Raw genomic sequence first — 18056 nt, 5'->3', positions numbered from 1 at the left:
TTAGCTACTCCAATCTGTGAGGCGCAGTTTGTGGCAGTTCTTAAACATTGTTTCCTCAGGAAACACGGGACAACTGGAGGCATTAATTACCCATCCTGCACCACGAGCATCTGGCCTCATTGTCTAGAGGCAACTGTGGAAAGTGATGCTCATTAACACCATGGCTCAGTAGCTCCATGTCATCTTTCTGTGAGTTTCAAGCGACTCAGTGAAGTCAACCCAGATCCATTTTCTGCTCTTTTTGGATGGACAAGATGCTCACAACCAATGCCCAGAATCTGCTTATAGTTTTAAAAGCTCTTCTATTGTAAATATTTTTTAAATGCCATTAATTTTATTTTTTGAGATGGGGGCTATGTTGTCCAGGCTGGTCTTGAACTCCTGAGCTCAAGTGATCTGCCTGCCTCGGCCTCCCAAAGTGCTGGGATTACAGGTGTGAGCCACTGTGCCCAGCCAAAAAATGCTATTAATTTTCGATTATTAAAAAAAGTTGGCCGGGCATGGTGGCTCATGCCTGTAATCCTAACACTCTGGGAGGCCGAGACAGGTGGATTCCCTGAGCTCAGGAGTTCGAGACCAGCCTGGGCAAGATGATGAAACCCCGTCTCCACTAAAACACAAAAAATCAGCTGGGCATGGTGGTGAGTGCCTGTAATCCAGCTACTCAGGAGGCTGAGGCACAAGAATTGCTTGAACCTGGAAGGCAGAGGTTGCAATGAGCCAAATTTGCGCCACTGCATCCCAGCGTGGACAACAAAGCAAAACTCTGTCTCAAAAAAAAAAGTTAAGCCTATATTGAGGTTTTAAGGAACTGAGGCTATCATTGTTACTCAGATGTCAGTGCATCTGAGTTTGTAGTATTGTTGCTGTTTGGTTTTTCTGCCAGTATTTTTTTTTTTTTGTCTAGGTTCTGTCTACTTTTCATGATCAAAACTGGCATTTACTAAGGAATCCAAAATAATCTAAGCATTTATTCAAATGTCTTATATATGCATTATACATGACGATATTCATTGCACACTTGTGCATAGGGTCAGGACTCTGCACAGAGAGAAGAGATGTCATCTGGGGAAAGTGACACGAAAGTCCTCTCACTGGGTACATTTACATATAAGTAATTTGTCTGGGTGGAGACACTGAAGATTTGTTTAAATACAATATTGTATGAAGAATGGAGGAGCCATTAAATGATTATCACCAATTAACAGCCAAGTTCATTAAACTAGCATGTTACTTATTTGGATCCTCAGGGGACCATCAGAAAATAGATATATTTTGACTTACAGAAATTAGCACACTGAGAACAAGTGACACTACGGACAGGTCGGCCCCACTCTGGTGTCATGGCGGGGAAAGGGTGGCACTACGGACAGGTCAGTCCCACACTGGTGTCACGGTGGGGAAAGGGTTTTGCACAACCGGAAGGGGGAATGAAGACCCTGGGCACTAGGCATTTTAAGAGCAAAAGAAAAGAATAGAAATAAGTGAGAAAATTGTATCCACTTAAGAATTTGGGATTGTGTTGTCTACACATATTGTAGGTTAACCAGTCTCCAAATGTGGTCTTATTCTCCAGATCACATTTGGAGACTAGCTACTACTAAAAATACAAAAATTAGCTGGGCGGATGCCTGTAATCCCAGCTACTCGGGAGGCTAAGGCAGGAGAATCGCTTGAACCCGGGAGGCGGAGGTTGAGGTGAGCTGAGATCGGGCCATTGCACTCCAGCCTGGGCAACAAGAGCAAAACTCCATCTGAAAAAAAAAAAAAAATAGATTTTAAATAAAAATGTTATTTAATTAACATGTAATAGGTTTATTATTACTATTTTAAAATAAATCACTAAATATTTTTAGATTGTTAGTTTGTGTTTTTTCTATGATAAATATTAATAAGTATAAATATAAATCAAATCAACAAAACTTTTTGAAGTCCAGGATACTTTTTGAGCCTAATGGGGTCCTGAGAGTCAAGTATTTGGCAGCCACTGATCTAGGTGGTGAATAGATTCCTTCCTCATTGTAATTTGTCAGGCATTCAAGAATTGCCTGTGGAGAATGCTGGCATTGAGAATATTGAAGTCCTGGGAATACCTCTATGCACGTACTTCTCCAAATGTAGTTGGAGAGAGAAGTTTTGCTAAAACAGCTTTCTCACATTTATTTATTTATTTATAATTCTTTTTAGAGACAGGATCTTGCTTTGTCGCCCAGGCAGGAATGCAGTGGTGTGATTGTAGCTCACTGCAGTCTCAAACTCCTGGGCTCAGGCGATCTCCTGGCCTCTGCCTCCCCAGTAGCTGAAAACAGCTTTCTATTATTACATAAAACAAACATTAAGGAAGATGGCTGTGACTGCAGGTGCAGCAGGGAATAAGTAAGAAATATGAAAATTAAAAGGAAGGAATTTGAAGGCATTAATAACAAGCTTATTCTAATTCATCACTTTCCTTTGGTATAGTAATTAGACTATTTTGCCACTGATGAGATTTTAGAATAGAATATTAATTTGTATCAGACTTAATTAAAATTCAAAAACAGGCCAGGCATGGTGGCTCATGCTTGTAATTCCAGCACTTTGGGAGGCTGAGACAGGTGGATCACGAGCTCAGGAGTTCGAGACCAGCCTGGCCAACATGGTGAAACCCCATCTCTACTAAAAATACAAAAATTAGCTAGGTGTGGTGGTGGGCGGCTGTAGTCCCAGCTACTCAGGAGGCTGAGGCAGGAGAATCACTTGAACCCGGGAAGCCGAGGCTGCAGTGAGTCGAGATCGCACCACTGCACTCCAGGCTGGGCAACAGAACAAGACTCCATCTGAAAAACAATAAAATTGAAAAACAATGTTTTGAACTAAAATGTCTCAAATGAGCATGGATAAAAAGTTGCAAGTTGTGACCTGCTAGTTGAGAATTGGAAATAATTGGGAGTCCTTGGATTGGGATGAGGAGAAGAGAAGGAAATTGTAGGATGATGTGCAGAACGAAGCAGCTAGTGGAGCAACAACAGCTCCTAAAGTAGGCGACTAGCATTTTGCAATAGTATTGGAATAAGTTTTCCATACAATTAAGCTGCACCATTCAAGTATGACTAGAAGGTGACTGGCTTCACTTTTAGACAGGAATCAATGGAAAAATCTCACTGGAGGACTTTGATGGCATTGGTGGAGATCATGAGTCTAATCTTTGACCAATGAGCAGAAGCTAGGGATGGGGTTGGAGATGCAGTTGGAGAGTGAGAAGAAGCAGTGTCCACATAAAGGAAAGCATTCTTCCCATAGGAAAAATGGGGCACTGGTCAGAAATAACAAACACGCCCAGTCAAATCCTAAGTAAGTTTGCAGCTGGATTTTTTCCAGTAATGTCTTCACTGGCCTTTTGTCCTTGAGTTATTCTCATCTCCTGCCCATCAGTGCCATATTAATAACCTCTCCAGACCCATTACATTACGATATTCTTTGCTTAAAACTTTCAGTCACTTTTATTACCTACTGAATTAACTTCAAACACCTTCTCTTGCTATTTAAGGTGTTCCAGAACTTGGTCTCACCCTGACTTTCTAGTTCCATCATTTTGACTCCTTTGCAAAAGCCAGAGTTGTCTGTTCTTTGAATCTTGTATGCATTGAGCAGATTCTTATCTCCATTTGCTTACCAATGACATAACTTTGCACTTATCATGTTCTCCTTTTATCCAAATATTAACTACTCTTAAAAGTCAAGCTCAGCTATTGTCCCAGCTACTCAGGAGGCTGAGATGGGATGATCACTTGAGCCTGGGAGATCAAGGCTGCAGTGAGCTGTGATTGCCCCACCCCAGTGACCTCCAGCCTGGATGACAGAGTGGGACCCTGTCTCAAAAGAAAAAAAAGTCAAGTTTAGGTTCAGTGTGCAAAAGAAAAGAGTTGTCACATAAGGAATTAGTTGGCCCTGAAATGTCAGACTTAGAGTGTTGGCTTCTTTTCCTAAGTCTTCCTTGCCTAAGTCTTCCTCTCCTAAGTCTTCCTCTCAATCTCGTAGGCTCAGAAATCTGATTTTGTTAAAAAATCATTCTCAGTATTGGGCTCAAAGAAGCTGAGCTTACAAGACTAATTTTAAATTACAGATTTTCCAGTGTGAACCCACAATGCTCACATTGGCAAAATTTCCATTTGAACATCACACTGTAGACAGAACTTTTTAGAAGTCTAAAAATTTCTAGGTGATTGCTTTGCAAAGATAAGGCTAAAAACATTACTAAGTTTTCATCTCTGTAATGCAGATGGCCTTACTAAGGTCACCATTCTATTGAAGCCATTCAGCTAAAGCTCTCTAGAATTCTTCCAATGTTTGCATTTCTGACTTTTTTATTTTTACTTTTTGACAATCCATTTTACTATTGGCACATCCAATTATTAGGTCTTTTCATGTGATTAATGAGATTATTGTTCATTTTTGCTGATCTGGGTGCAATTCATTCTGTTTTCTTAAGGAGACATTACCTAGCTTGGTTCTGAGTCTTTATGTCTTGATTTCACAATCTAATTATTCAAGAGTAATCTTAAGTTTCTTCCTTCCAAGTGCTTGGAAGAACATTTTATGATTTTACTGGCAACAATCATTATTTGATCTTTACAACAACCCTTAGGCAGACAGGGAAGATGAGTATCACGCTAATTTATAGATGAGGAAGCTGAGCCTTAAAGCATTAAGGGAGTTGTCTGAACTCACACATATTAACTGGATCAATTAGATCTCAAATTAAGACCTTTGTTCTACTACAGAACCGCCTGATGCAAGGACCACTTCTTCAGGCCAATTAGAGCACCTAGCAATGTGCTGGGATCACTGTACGTGCTTAATATATATTTATTTTAAAAAAGAATGAGGATACTACTATGACAAAAAAGTGAAACAAATTACCAGTTTCACAAAGTTAATTGTGAACTCCTAGGATGCATTCTTCATTGTCAACTGTCAACCCACTAAAGTAATTTTGGCTTTATGATTTGGAAAATGAGCATGATAATTCTTCCTGGTGTGAATTACTCAGGGTATGAGTGGACCATGAAGGTTTAAGATGAGTTATTGCAGTGGTCATGAGTCACAGTCGTGTGGATGAGGATTTAAGAAGATACGTGACAGGAGGTGGAGGAGCACAAGGCTTTCGAGACCATGAGTTGTAAGGAAGGTCAGGACCCTGGATAGGTCCCTGGTGCATAACAGCTGTAATTGTGAGAAAGCTTTCTTCCAGATTATTATCTTTTATTTAGATTTAAGCTTCCCTGGGTGACGTCTCCCCCGATGGAATTCTTTGGCTTGGTTATGGAAGATTTCAGAGTTTGGGGGAAGACTGTATCAGCGAGGTGCTCAGTTGCAAACAACAGAAATAAAGTCTGGCTAATTTAAGTAAGAAATTCAGAAGAAGCAATATTTATTAGAACTATATTTGGAAGAATCAATCACGCGTCTGGAGATCCATACTCAAAAAATGTGTGGAAACTAAGTGAAATTAGGCAGCTGAGAACGCATGGTTAGCACCACTGCTAGTGGACAATCGCTGGCCTGATCCTGCTGTGCTTTAACTCCACTGCTGCATGGACTTTACACAGTCGCTACTTTCCTCAGAGCTTGGCATTGCTTTCTCAAGATCCTAGAACTGGCTAGAGCTCTGATTGGCAAAGAGCCTAGAGCTGGCGAGAGCTCTGATTGGCCAAGATCCTAGAGCTGGCCAGAGCTCTGATTGGCCAAGATCCTAGAGCTGGCCAGAGCACTGATTGGCCAAGATCCTAGAGCTGGCCAGAGCTCTGATTGGCCAAGATCCTACAGCTGGCCAGAGCACTGATTGGCCAAGATCCTAGAGCTGGCCAGAGCTCTGATTGGCCAAGATCCTAGAGCTGGCCAGAGCTCTGATTGTCCAAGATCCTAGAGCTGGCCAGTGCTCTGATTGGCCAAGGTTCTACAGCTGGCCAGAGCTCTGATTGGTCAAGCCTCTGCCCTAGCTTCCTGGGAGCAGAGTTGAGATGTCTCCTTTCATTTGGCCTCTGGAATGTTCTAAATAGCAAATGTGGGTACCTTTTTTTTTGGATGGCTGGGCCTGGTGGCTCATGCCTGTAATGCCAGCTATTCAGGGGGCTAAGATCGAAGAATTGCTTGAGGCCAGGAGTTTGAGACCCCTTATCTAAATACATAAAAATAGGCAGTTGTGGTGTGTGCCCGTAGTCCCAGATACTCAGGAGGCTGAGGCAGTAGGATCGCTTGATCCCAGGAGTTTGAGGCTGCAGTAAGATGTGATCGCACCACTGCACTCCAGCCTGGGCAACAGGGTGACCCTGACTCTAAACTTTTTTTAAAAAAGAAAGAAAACAATGATTAATCTTTGCTCTGACCTCAGGCTTCCCACTTTTTGAAGAGCTGGGTGGGCTAATGGGCTGGCCTGAGCTTTTGTCTTTGTTTGTCACCACCCACCCATCAGACCACAAAAGTTGTTGCTGAAACTCCTCAAGTTCCCACATGCCCAATGATGACAAATAGGTTTAGTGCTCTGCTTACCTTTTCAGGTTTCTGGCTTGATTTAGATTCATAATTCTTAATATTTCTTACTTTCTTGCCAGAGTATCAATGCATTTTTGAAAGATTTAAAAACATGGTATTCCATGTCTACCTTTACTTTCAATCTGCCTATGTAGGTCATCATACATGCAGAAATAGGAGTTAGGACTGGTTCTTTGTAATTATCTTACCAAAAGAATAAGGTATGCACCTTGAGCTAGCGAACAACATGATGCCTGGGAAAACGGGGAGAAAATACATTCAAAAAACATGCCTGGATGATGCATCAGCGGGGCCAAAGTACTATGCTCAGCAGACAGAGCCAAATATACACATTATGGACAAATTTATTTGGATTATTTATTGTGAACCTGGTATTCCTTCAATTTAATAGTAGAATAATATCTTAAGCACACGCAGACTGGTAAAATAAAAGAACCAGATGGTCAAAATCTGAATTTAACAACTGTATCAAGCGACTGAGTCTACTGCCGTTTATAATGTCAGCTTCTGGCTGAATTCTGAGCATGTCTTGGTCTCTGCGGCTCAAGACATCTCACACAGGTGCATCTGTGTGGTAAGAGCCATGATGAAGGCAAGATGGAAGCTCTGAAGTTCAATTTCCTTCATGACAACTAAAAGATCAACGGGTAGACATGGCTTCTCTTCCTCGAAATGGTAGGATTAAATGTTGTCACTTCTCATGAACTTAACAAAAAGCTAGTCAGCAGAGTGTATTGATGAAGAAACACGTAGTTCAGCATGCAGTCAGACCGTTATGAGCCTGCCTTGTGGTTTTGGCACTGCGGTTTCTTTCATTGGATGTGTCAGTGTGGGCATGCTCCCTTATGCAAGCCTGAGCCAGCCATGCAAACTCCCAGCCTCTTTCTCTCATAATGTATTTTGGAACCCTGTTGTAAGACTATTAAAATATTTATAAAACTTTCAGGTATTGCGTATAATGCATTGATGCTAATTGATGCAATAAATGGATACTAATGCAGGATAGACTTTTCAAAATACTGCGATTTTTAAAAATATATGATCAGCTGGAATGGTATGTGAAATACAATATTAAATTGCAGTGTTGAAACTGCGAAAGGTCAAACAAATACCTTTTCCTCTGTAATATGTGCAATAATGTTTCATTTAACCAGCAATATTGGAGACCTAGGTATTTCATAAACATGACTTTTACAAGTAATTGAAGGTTACCTTTAGAGAACTTCAACATTTTAAAATTTTAACTTGCCAGGATGGAAAGCATTAAAGAGTTCATTGCCCACTTCCTGAATTTAGAAATAAGAACACGGAAAAATAGAGATTAATCAAACCCATGTTTCCACCACAGAGATTTTCCTTCTTTATAAATTGAGGATATTGAATACAATGTAATATTTTTAAAATAACTGTATGTTATTATTGTAAACATTATTATTACACCATGCTGTGTGATAAAATATACTCAGGGAGTTTTGTGGCATATGGGGATGGTTCAAAATTTTATTTACCTGGTTATAGAAAATATGGAAAGCATAGAAAAGAAAATAAAAATGACTATAAACACACTAGCCAGAGGTAATCATGGTTAACATTTTAGTGTTATTACTATTTCTGAATACGGTTACTATGTTACTCTATATACACTTTTTAATTCTTCTCTACCCAATTAATAAATTGGGAATGTTTTCTCATAGCCTTAAACATCCTTAATGACTTGCTTTCTAATGATTATGTGATTTTGCCTCCTATGGCAGTGGCATCATTATTTTGTTAACCAGTATCCCGTTGATGAACATTTAGATTTATCCAGTTTAGCCATTGTAAGTAATGCTATAGTGACCACTTTGGTAAGTAAATCCTAGTGGACATCTTTTATTTATTTAGAAAGGGGTTAGGAAGTACTTACATCTTTTATTTATTTAGGAAGCGGTTAGGAAACGCTTACAGTGGGGTTTAGGAAGCACTTACAGTGGGGTTAGGAAGCACTTACAGTGGGGTTAGGAAGCACTTACAGCGTGTTGTGCACTCTTCTATGTGCTTGGGATTCCATCTTTGTTCTTGCAGTATTTATATTCCAGTAGGTGAGACTTACAGTAAACATAGAGAAGCCCGTTAGATAGTATATTAGAACGTGGTAAATGACATGAACTGTGTTCTCTTAAGATAAATTCCTAGAAGAGTCCTGAAACATTCTTCTAAAATGCTTTTCAGAATGGTTGTACTGATTCAGTTTTCTGTCAAACATGTTTGCATATCTCTTTTCCTATCTTTGAAAACAGGTGTTGCTAAAAAAAAAACTGCCATTTGGTTAAAGACAATTTATTTTATTGCTTATACTTGCATTTTTTTATTCTAGTGATTTCTGAACACATTTTAGTATGTTCATTGATTATTTGTATATCTTCCTTTGAAAAATACCTGTTTATGTCTTTCGGATAATGTCAATAATTTGAGGAAAATTGCCTTTGGAGAAAGGAAATGCCGTTCATTTTTTTGTGCCCATTTAGTCACCCAGTGTAGTAGATCTATCTCATTTATCGCTCCTGGAAGCTCTTCTTTCTTTTCCTTCTGTTCCTGCCTTAATTTAGGAGGCCTTAATCTCTTCTCACCTGGATTTCAGCTAAAAGCTCCAACTGATCTTCTTGGCTGCAGCCTTATTGGCTTCATTCCATCAAAGACACAGCCTCGTAATCACCTTCCTAAAATATAAATCGAGACACATCATTCTCTTCGTTAAAATACTTCAGTCACTTTTTTTTCTTTCTAAGTGAAGCTGAAGCCCTAGTGAAGTTTGCAAATCTTCCCATGACCTGGCTCCTGCATACACAGCAAACCTCGCCTTTCTGGCACATAGCAAACCCTCAATAGGTTTTACGTAATGGATGACATTGATCACTGCTAAAGGAGGCCCGGATGGCCATGGCTTTCCTCACGCCGTGGAGATTTAGGCTGGATCCTACACTAGCTGCTTCCAGATGACATGTATTGAGCAGTGATTCACAAACTTTTCATTCTTAGGACCCCTTTACACAGTTCAAATTATTGAGGACACTTAACAGCTTTTATTCACATGGGTCATGTCTATCTATATTTACTTTATTGAATACCAAAATGGGAAATGTAAAAAAATATTTATCAACTCATTTAAAATAATATTAAGACCAACACATTTTAATGTAAATAACATTTTATGAAAAATAATTATATTTTCCAAACCCCTCAAAAATTGGTGAGAAAAGGGAAATTGTTTCACATTTTTGCAAATCGTTTAAATGTTTGACTAACAAATGACAGTTACAGATGTGTGAATGAGCCCAGTCCAGATCAGCTGAGTCTGGCCCAGAAGATCAGGCCTGCCCCAATGAAGCCAGCTCAAATTGCACAAATGAGCCCAGTCCAGATCAGCTGAGTCCGGCCCAGAAGATCAGGCCTGCCCCAGTGAAGACAGCTCAAACTGCGAGCCCGGAAATTGTAAGTGAAATAAAGGTTGTTGTATAAGCCATTATGGTCGTCGGGGTTCTCCGGAGAAAGAAGTAAGATACGATACATGAGAGGGAGAGATGTATTATAATGAATTGGCCCACACGATTGTGGGGACTGGCAGGCTGCAGGCTGGAGAGCCAGAGAAGAGATGAAGAAAAGAGAAGAGATGATGCTGAATCTGGAGCCCAGAGACCACCTGGAGGCAGGATTCCCTTTCCCTCCGGGACCTCTGTCTTTCTTTCTCTTAAGGCCTTCAACCATTTAGGTGAAGTCCACTCACATTATGGGGGTAACCCTCTTCACTAAATATCCACTGATTTCAATGTTAATCTCATCTAACAAATACCTTCACAGCAATATTTACACTGAGTGTTTGACCTAATATCTGGGTTCATGGCCTAGCCAAGTTGGCACAAAATCGCCCCTTGCAACGACCAAGTTTAAGATGGTGTGTTATGGGACAAAAGCCATCTGGCATACTTTGTAACCATCATCTCCGCTGGTCTTTCAACCCTGCAGACTCAGCTGTCTTAAGAATTTTTCGGCAAAATTTTGTAATTCCAAAATGTAGTAATTCCAAAAGGTAAAATTATTTTTCTCTGTGAAATTTTAAGCTTTTAAAATATAGTAATGTAGCAAATGGTTTAAAAATATTAACAATAGTTTTCTATAAACAGAATTCCTCTTTGTGACTACAGTTGGGTGGTACATATGTTCAGGACTGAATCCAGGCAAATAGGTGTCTTTCCTGGAAGATGGTTTTGGTTGTTGGGTAGAAAGTTTTCAGGTGTTTTTCTATCAATCATCTAGGAAATGTTAATTGACTTTCTTACCTGTTACATACTGGGCTGTGTGCTAGACACCGAGGTCTCAGCATTGATCTCTGTTCTGCAGGTATAAAACAAAACTAGATGATTCTTTTCCCTTAGGAGTGAATTTTTTTCCTTAAAGCAGTTTGCTCTTTTTCATATTCTGTCTCTATTCTGTGTATTTAAGTACTTTCACCAGAATAATATGCATTGGCTGCTCCCATGGAAGAAATTACCTGCTCCTTTCCACTCCCAGCTCCAAGAGCAGTGTGGAAATGAACGGAGCCAGCACAGTGCTCTGTGCCAGTTCTTTGTTGCTTTATTTTGTTCACAGATCTCTTGAGGCCAGGATTACCCATAGTGCGTTGTTTGTGTGTCTGCATTTTCGCGGCATAAAAGAGTTTTAAAGGCTCCAAATGGATATTTCCTATGATCTTGAATAAAAGAATCACTAGATGAAAGTGCTACTCACTTGAGATCTGCAAAACTTTCTAAACACAGCTAAACGTTGGCTTCTGAGTCTTGTTCAGTTCTGAAATAAGGCTGTCTGCCTTCCTCCTTATAAATTTCTCATGTGACTGCAAACATTCTAAATGCATCCTACTATTGTGGAGGATAAAATAGATGTTAGAAAGTTGATATAATCCTAGTAGGTACCATTTAAAGGAGCCTTAGTATGTTATGACACTAGCTAACCAACTTGTAAACATTCTCTAATTTAAGCCTTATGACAATCATGCAAGTTAGGGACTAGATTAAGAAAACTGAGGCAAAATGATATATTTAATAAAGTGCTTTGCCTAAGTATACTCAGCTAGTAAGTGGCAGGCTGAGCATGAAAACCTGAGTGTGTTTGACACCAGGCCTGTGGTCTAGATCACTCCACTATGTAGCCCTGACCACATCACCATTTGTGGGGTGAGAATGCAGTCCTAGCTCAGTGGGTAAGAGGATCCAGGTGAGATTACCTCTGATCAATCCTTTGCTTCTTTACTTATTCACTGTTATTCAATGGCTCGGTATCTCAGTTTATTCCTCTTTAAGATTAGAATAATAATGTAGCCTTCTTCCTAGGGTTGTTACAGGAATTAAGTTAATACGGGTATGGTGCTTGGAATACCACTGGCATATACTAAGTTCTCCTTAAATATTAGCTCTTCTTATAAAATTGAATGCAACTTTTCCATCAGGATGTCAAGTTTTTGGTTTTCTATGCAGCTAAGTCAATAATCTTAAATTTAGTTGCTAATGACTTTTAGATTAAGGTTGTGTCTATGTGATTCCAAAGGACAAATAAAGTCAATTTGGAAACAACTCAAGCCAATCGCCAATTCAATGAAAATGTTAGTTAGGCTCTTGTTTGGTGTCTCGAGGATAAATGTAGTAATTCTTTTTGTAAAAAACTTTTTAAAAGTCTTTCAGTTGGTTGCATGATTATGTTGAAGTAAGTCTTCAATTTATTAAGAAGCAAAACTGTTGGGACGTTAAGGCGTCTTCAGCGTGGCTTCACACTCCAAACTTCCACGCTCTCAAAGGGTCTGTAGAAGGTCTTGGAGGAATGTGTGGAGAGAGCAGAATAGTGGGAGTCAGGCCCAGCTTTCCCCAGGAATGTTCTAGGTTATTACATGAGCATCTCAGGCAGATCATCACTTGTTCTGTAATTCAGCTTTTCCTACTGTAATTAGTGAATTAAACTTTCTTACTTGGCTGCTGTCTGAGGGGCCTCAGAGCCCTTGCGACGCTCTGGGCACCTTGTGAGTGCTTCGAATGTACAACATAGAAACACAGGGCCAGCTGAGCCTACCATCTTTATCACAATGTACCACATAATTATAAATGTCCCATTTATAATTTTGTTTTTAAATGCATGTTCTTTCAAAAGGTTGTTACAATTTTAACAACAAATTTTGTTAATATTTTAGAAAACTGGGAAAATACAGAAAAGCATAAAGAATAAGACAGAAATCATGCAGAGTCTCATCATCATATAGCAGCACATTTATGTCTAGAAAATGGTTGCTTTAAAGTGTTTGCATGGACTAGGGATGTATGAAATTGTAGGACAAAATGAAAATCTGATTATTCATGTCAGCCCTAAGAATGGTGTTAGTACTTGATACAACTTACATTATTTTAGCTTTAAAAAAGAATGTTCATCTGAACTGCAATAAAGCTAGAATTATATTACCTTGAAAGGATGTCTCTGGGAGTTGTAAGTCAAAACAAGGCTGTATTACAAAAAATTAAATAATAATAATAATGTGGAGATAAATCGACGTATGTATCGAGAGTTATGTCTGTGCTACTTCGGGGCAGAGAGTTTCCTGTTTGGGTTGAGATTTGCAGAGCTGGTGATTTTCCAGGACTACATGAGGCTCCCAGGCAGGTCACCGAGGCTCAGTGCCCCTAGAGCACCGTCTCACAGCTCTTGAGGCAATGCCTGGTTGACTGTGTGCTGTCACTCGACCTTTTCTATGAAAGATGAGACGCTCTTCCCACTAATGGATGCAAATGTAAGAACTGGCTGCCTGAAACAGCAGTGAGGTAAGAATTACTATCTGAGGCCACATCAGCCCTGGCATCTGACTTATGTTCAATGAGCTCCTCTCTTGGGCTACACAAATAAGCATCATTGTTTTTAAGGCCAAATTCCTGAAACAGAATTCACATCTTGTCCTTTTCCCGCAGGCTGCAACTCTCCTGTTACTCTGGGGGAAAGCTTAACAACTAAGATTCAGAGCAAAGGAAGACGATGCCGGCAGCAGGCTTTGGGTGCTTGTGGGGCAGCAGGTTGTACCAGGGGCAGGTGCAGACCCCTGCCTCCCTTGCCTTCACCACAGTCACAACAGGCCAGGCCAGCCCATCCATCATGTCTCTAGGATATCTCAGGGGTTCAAGGCCACCACACCATTTGCAGCACACTCCACTCGCTGATCTGTGATATGGGAGATGTGCTTATTGGCGAATAAATCACCATGTCAAGTTAACGGCCTGTGTCCAAGGCGAGTGACTTCGAGGTCAGCATAGCAGCATACCATTGGATGCAGCGGGTTCTGCTTCTGCGCACAGTGCCTCATCAGAACATAAATTTTCAAATACCAGATGTGATAAAAGACAACATCGAGCTTTCTGTTTTTTGAAGGAGAGGAGAAGGAGATCCTGGATACATTCTCTGAAAGGTGCCTCCACTTCATCACTGATCCCGACACGTGGGAGGAAGGAGAGGAGGACAGTGAAGACCATCAGCAAGGGAGAGCAGGTTCCCTGCCCTGGATCCCTGCCCTGGTCCCCTGCCCTGATTCCCTGCCCCATGTTGTAGGTCTTTGGGCTACATTTCTACCCATTGGCTGAACATAAAAACTGTCCTATGAACTATTTGGCAGCAAGTTCACAGCAAAGAATATTAACTCTGTGAGGCACCTTAGACAATGCCTGGCTTAACCCCCACTTGACAAATAAAGACACATGTTCTGACTCACCCACCATCCCAGGAGCAACTGACCAGGCTGAGGAACTCTGTCCACTGCCTGCAGCCCACTTGGCCTTCCACTGTGACGTCCAGGCTGAGGAACTGTGTCTGCCACCTGCAGCCCACTTGGCCTTCCACTGTGATGTCCTTTCCAGGACTCTGAGCAGAGATGGGTTTATAACAAGCATAAATTGTTATTTTGTATCGATCTGCACATCAATTTATATATTTTGAAAATTAAAAGAAATCCAATGATAAGAATTTTTCTCACAAGTTAATTAAGGAAACTAGGTCAATGGAAATTTCTTAGGTTATGAAAATATTGATGTGAATATGTTATGTGAGAATCATTTCAAAATGAGTTAAAGGGGCTGGGCACAGTGGTTCACACCTGTAATCCCAGCACTTTGGGAGGCCAAGGTGGGTGGATCATGAGGTCAAGACATTGAGACCATCCTGGCCAACATGGTGAAACCCTGTCTCTACTAAAAATACAAAAATTAGCCAGGCATGGTGGCACATGCCTGTAGTCCCAGCTACTCAGGAGGCTGAGGCGGGAGAATAGCTTGAACCTGGGAGGTGGAGGTTGCTGTCACGCGACTGCACTCCAGCCTGGTGAGAGAGCAAGAGAGCAAGACTCCGTCTCAAAAAAAAAAAAAAAAAAAAAAACAAACCAGGAGTTACAGGAATCTAGGATATTTTGCTTTCTGTCCCTAAACTTTGGGGCTTAATTTGGCAGAAACTTGGGAGTGGGAGGGTGAAGTTTGTGGCGTCCTGCTTGCCTTGAATTTGTGGTGGCCACAGAATGCAGGCTTGACTTCATGCAGGTTCTCATACATCATTATGGAGAACATCTTTTTGTATTTACTTCAATATTTATTTTGTAGTGAAAATAAAAGCAATACCAGTTTTCTGAAGGGTTTCTTAAATCAATTCCTTTGTGTCCTATAGGGCAATACTTTGCTCCTAGAGAAGTCTGTGAACCATTGGTGTCTTTGATTTGTCTCATTAGAACGCCCACCCTCATACCATATGCTATCCCTCATGTATGCTGGAAGATAATAGTCTGCAGAGTAGCCTTTATGGTGAAGCCAGCTTCCGGTGCTCTGCTACTCTGCAAAAATCACATCTGGATAGAGAAGAAACCGGTGGCAAGATGTCTCTCTCTCAGTCCATGCAATGAACTGACTCCTACTGGTGGGGGTGAGGGGGATGGTGTCAGCAATGGTGAGATATATGTTTCAAATGTCAGCAACAAAAGAAGAGAGAGAAAGAGAGGAAACAAAAACAGCTGCTAACCCCTTGAGTTTGCTTTCTGGGACAAGTTAACAGCCACATTAGTTTCATGGTCTCTATCTGCATACTGAGGGTGGCTGCCATCCCTGCTGTCCACCCAGATTTGCACATCTGTGGTTCCATTGAGTTATGTGGTTTTGCCATTCACAGCAAACATGGAAAAGATCCCCACCAACCTGGTGAAATGGTTCTGGTTTTAGATTCATAAGCTATATAGACAATAATTTCTGAAAAGGATGTGTATTTAATGTGTTGACTGAGGAACTGAAAGGCAGGGTTGTTTACAAAAGACTCAAGTGCAGAATTTTGGAAGGTGCTGAGTGTTAGCTCAGCCGTGTCCTGGTAGGTGTTTTTCATTCATTCCTCTGAAACACATGGTGTTTTCATTTCTAATTTGTGGAAGAATTTAGTGCAAAACTTGGAGCACAATTATTAGGGCCAATGACAACCCACATATGTGGAATTTTGAGGACTTTTGCAGATTTTATGGATTTGGTGCAGTTCCACAGCAAACTATAAAATTATTATTGCAGACTAGAAGATTGTAAAAGTTAAAACACAAACTATCTGAATTACAGCGCCCAGCAAAACGTGCAAGAAACAGTTAAGTCATCACGCACATCCCTATAATTTGGTATTCTAATGCTTCGTTTGGCTAAATATTTTTATCAGCTTTTTGTCTTAATAATTTCTGGAAATAGGATGATAATTTTGTTTTCACAGTTGGTGATTGTATATGGACAGAAGGTATGAAAGAGGATGAGATTTCTAACTTTCAGATAAAAAGTTTGGCATATTCTATTAGTTCCACCACATTAATTTTATTACTTATTTTTTTCAGTTCTTATTTTGTTTCATTTTTGAATATGGTATCTGCTGTATGTTGATAATGGTGAGTTAAAAATTTATCAGCTGCAGCCATACGTCTGTCTGTTTTTTGTTTTATATATATATACTTTTGGGCTTTTTTATTTGGTATATTAAAGTTTATTCATGTCATATCTTTATTATTAGCTTACCAATTTAAAATAATACGATGCTCTTTTAACTCAATAAGAGACTTTAAATACTACATAGCCTGAAATGATATTACCAAATCTGCTTTTCTTTTGTATGTATTTAATTAGTTACAATGTACCCAATCCTTAATTTATGACCCTCTAATCCAGCTTTCGGTTGTTTCTAGGCAGCAACATCTTGTAACATTGTGTTGTTGGATTTTGTTTTGATTCAACTTAAGATACGGTAAACATAGATAGTGGAATTTAAGCCCTTAACACCCAATACCAATTTATTCTGAACTGTTTAAACTCACGATCCTCTATTTCTTTTCCTTGCTTATGGCTTTGTAGAGGCCGGTGTGCAGCACTAAGAGGGTAAGGAACGCAGTGGGAAATCTCTGAGCCCCATTAAGGGTTGTCGCAAATAGAAAGAGGCCAGGTCCTCTTGCTTGCTTTGTTGGTGGGGTTCCCTCGCACACTCATGCCTTCTTGAATGCTCACATTCATGCACTTTCACACTCACTTCCCCACGTTCACGCCTCACACAGTCGTGTATATAACATTTTCTGGTTTTACAGTGTTTAAAACTTAGCCTTTACGGGTGACTGATGCTTTTCTGGGTAAAATGCTGAGCACTATGAAGGGACTGCATGAGATCAAAAGATCTCCCACCCTGGGAGAAGTTCTGGCTGATTTGGGAGCTGATCCCTGGAGAATTTCTGGCTGATTTGGGAACTGATCCCTGGAGAAGGTCTGGTTGATTTGGGAGCTGATCCTTGGAGAAGTTCTGAATGATTTGGGAGCTGAACCTTGGAGAAGTTCTGGCTGATTTGGGGGCTGATCCTTGGAGAAGTTCTGGCTGACTTGGGAGCTGATCCTTGGAGAAGTTCTGGCTGATTTGCGAGCTGATCCTTGGAGAAGTTCTGGTTGATTTGGGAGCTGATCCTTGGAGAAGTTCTGGTTGATTTGGGAGCTGAAACTTGGAGAAGTTCTGGTTGATTTGGGGGCTGATCATTGGAGAAGTTCTGGGTGATTTGGGGGCTGAACCTTGGGGAAGTTCTGGCTGATTTGGGAGCTGAACCTTGGAGAAGTTCTGGTTGACTTGGGGGCTGATCCTTGGAGAAGTTCCGGGTGATTTGGGGGCTGATCCTTGGAGAAGTTCTGACTGATTTGGGAGCTGAAACTTGGAGAAGTTCTGGTTGATTTGGGGGCTGATCCTTGGAGAAGTTCCGGGTGACTTGGGGGCTGAACCTTGGAGAAGTTCTGACTGATGTGGGAGCTGAACCTTGGAGAAGTTCTGGTTGATTTGGGAGCTGAACCTTGGAGAAGTTCTGGTTGATTTGGGGGCTGATCATTGGAGAAGTTCTGGGTGAATTGGGGGCTGAACCTTGGGGAAGTTCTGGCTGATTTGGGAGCTGAACCTTGGAGAAGTTCTGGTTGATTTGGGGGCTGATCCTTGGAGAAGTT

The 18056-nt window shown here is 40.7% G+C and overlaps 1 long non-coding RNA gene across 1 annotated transcript in view; it reads left to right on the top strand.

The window, feature by feature from the left end:
- Positions 1-14868, top strand: part of FRG1-DT (FRG1 divergent transcript) — a 176343-nt gene extending 161475 nt beyond the window's left edge. The window contains exon 4 of the long non-coding RNA NR_149039.1: positions 13512-14868. This is a non-coding gene — a long non-coding RNA (FRG1 divergent transcript). The remainder of the gene's footprint in view (positions 1-13511) is intronic.
- Positions 14869-18056: the final 3188 nt, after the last annotated feature.

The sequence above is a fragment of the Homo sapiens genome, chromosome 4, assembly GCF_000001405.40.
Source record: "Homo sapiens chromosome 4, GRCh38.p14 Primary Assembly".
In the NCBI taxonomy this organism is placed as follows: domain Eukaryota; kingdom Metazoa; phylum Chordata; class Mammalia; order Primates; family Hominidae; genus Homo; species Homo sapiens.
Note: the sequence above shows the minus strand (reverse complement) of the source record. Positions and strands in the feature narration are given on the sequence as shown.